Source organism: Homo sapiens, chromosome 7, assembly GCF_000001405.40.
Source record: "Homo sapiens chromosome 7, GRCh38.p14 Primary Assembly".
NCBI lineage: Eukaryota > Metazoa > Chordata > Mammalia > Primates > Hominidae > Homo > Homo sapiens.
This window is the reverse complement of record NC_000007.14, coordinates 17744967-17747714: the sequence shown is the minus strand read 5'-3', so window position 1 is coordinate 17747714 and position 2748 is coordinate 17744967. Positions and strand designations below refer to the sequence as shown.

General features: G+C 36.2%; 1 annotated feature.

Annotated features, from left to right (window-relative positions):
* Positions 1894-2043: an enhancer, noted in NCBI's record as "active region_25676". NCBI's record gives its function as "activates an Ori minimal core promoter by ATAC-STARR-seq in GM12878 lymphoblastoid cells {active_cell/tissue: GM12878}" and the evidence as "EXISTENCE:reporter gene assay evidence [ECO:0000049][PMID:35858748]".

The following is a 2748-nucleotide window of genomic DNA, read 5'->3' as shown; positions in this document are numbered from 1 at the left end:
GTTCAGTTTCTCACTATAATTCTTAGCAATTAGTTGTCAAGGAATAATATAGTGAATTGCTAAAACATCTGTTGCTACTTTTTAAAAGCTGCTCTTAACCTATGTTGTCAACTAATCATAGCTGTAGCTTTATCTTTTGCATAAGGAACAATTTTAGGAAAAGTGATACTTTTCCCCATTACTTTTTAGAGTTTCAAACATTGACAAATCTTACATTGTCAGTATGTTTTTTAAAAATCAGTCCTTCCGTTGCTTTTTATCCTTAAATCTGTTACATAAGTATAAGTGCTCTCATCACACAGAATACATGTTCATTTCGTTTTCATTATACTTATTAGGCAGCTGAATTTTGCCATCTTTCACCACATTATTGGTTATCCTTAAAACAGTATTATTTTTTAATAGAAGGTGACACATTTATTTAGATTTTTTTCTGTCATATTCTAAAAATCCTGTCATACCCCTGGTAGGATCACCTTTTTTCCATTTTGTGAATAGACAGAAAATAAGTTGATTTCTGGCAAAAACTTGGAGATCAACATATTGGAGAGAAAGAAATACTTTAGTCAAAACTTTTATTGGAAAAAACAATGTCTTGGTTAATTTGGAATTGAAATATTGATTCTCTATATTCATATTTGTGGACATATCATTGATGATGGTATTTGGGCTCAGAAATACGCAAGATAAGGCAAAAAGAGTCTAGTATTTGGACTTTAGTCAAATGCCTTGTAGTTGTCTAATAGTATTAGATAATAACTGCAGAAACACTGTTACAGCCTCGATAAGAGAAGTTTTGGCAAGTATAGCCTAGTTCACTTTAACTGACATGGGCTACAGGTATGGGATTCTTATTTATTTATTTTATTTTTATAATAATTATATATATTTTTTGAAACAGTCTCACTCTGTCACCCAGGCTGGAGTGCAGTGGCATGATCACAGCTCACCGAAGCCTTGAACTCCTGGGCTCAAGTGATCCTCCTGCCTCAGGCTCCTGAGTAGCTAGGACTATAGGTATGCACCACCACACCTGGCTAATTTAAAATTTTGTTGTTGTTGAGACAGGGTCTTATTTTGTTGCCCAGGCTGGTCTTGAACTCCTGGCTGCAAGCAATCCTCCTGCCTCAGCCTCCCAAAACTCTGGGATTACAGGCGTGAGCCACCGTGCCAGGCCAGAAGATTTCTTTTCAACAAATGCAATGTTTAAAACTCCCCCAATTTTTCCCTTTTGTCCTCTGAAGTTTTGCTGAAAATCAACTGTCAAAAGGCAGATTAATAGGAGAAAAGAAAGGCATCCCAAATTTATTAACATACACATATGCATGGGATTCATAGAAAATATGAACAAAGGGCTCAGATGGTTGACACTTTTATCCCTTCTTGAGGTTGTAGAAAGAATAGGGGCTTGGAGTGTGGTAAAAGAGATTATGGGGGGGAGAGAAGGGGAAAGGCATGGCTAGCAAGGGCGATCTTGTTATGTACATGCAATCTCACTAGTAGCAGCTCCCAGAAAGAATAAATGTCTTTCCTAGATCCAGACTGGAGGGGAGGCGTTGTCAGAGAAAGCCTGGCTATTTATTTCACTAATGTAGATTTTTCTCTACAGATGCAAATCTCCTCCACAAAAGGCAGCTTTGCAAGACTATTTCTGTCTGTAGGCCCTCTGAATAGCCATCTCAAAATATGTCAAAGAAGTATATTTTGGGGTGAAATATTTTTGGTTTCCTTTAGTTCCTCATTTGAAATTTTATTTTCAGAAAGTTTCACATATTAAAGTAGGATTGGTAGCTATGGAGAGATTTGGGGTTGAGGTTGTGAGATAAGAGATTGGTAAAGGGGAAGAAAAAAACCCATAGATTGGAACAAGTCACCCATATCTTCTTGACTCAGTCCTGAGTCCTGAGAGCACAGGTCAGTTCAGTTCAACAGTTGTGTCTCATTTCAAGAGATGGCATTGCAGATGGGCCTCAAAGCTAGGCATCTATATATGGTGTAGAAAAACAGATCTTCAACAAGAGACCTTTCTGTGAAGAAAAAAGAAGAACCAAGATTAATGTCTGGAGTCATCTATAAGCTGGTTTTTCTAGAGTCTCTAAAGCATTTGCAGTTGGAGTGGGTAGGCAGTGACAATTTGATGGATTTTTCTAAATTGAGTTTGAATCATGAACTTTCTGAATAGGCCATACATCAATAGGCATGAAGGCTGTTTATATTATAGTTAATGTAGTGATTTTTCCCAAAATTTATATCAAGTTGTCCAGCTTCAGTTTTTAGGGTTAATTTTTAGTAATTTTAAGTCAAGTGAGTGGGAGACCAAAAAAGTCATAAAGTTATTTTAGTCCTCCATCAGTTCAATCTCATGTACTTGATTCTTGTTCTGCTTGACGTTTGGTTAGCAGTTCCATGAGTCCAGTTTTGTTTATGAGATGTTTTAAAATTCTTACCTCGTCCTGTTGAGTAATCAGCACAGGTCCGTATTTCAGAGTACCTGTCAGTCGTTCATCCTTTTCATGAACCTCCTTAACATATCTAATCAGGTTGTTTATTATCTCTCTTTTGGATGTTTCAGGAGCCCTCTGTAACACCCCAAAGCTAGTTTGAGTTCAAAAGAGCTTAATTTGGATTTTGAAATTTGATGTTGGGAAGACTGTGAGACATATTAAAAGTTTAAAACACTTTATCAAAATAGGAAAGATTTAAAACACTTTATCAAAATAAGATTACAGGTTGCTATAAAATAATAGT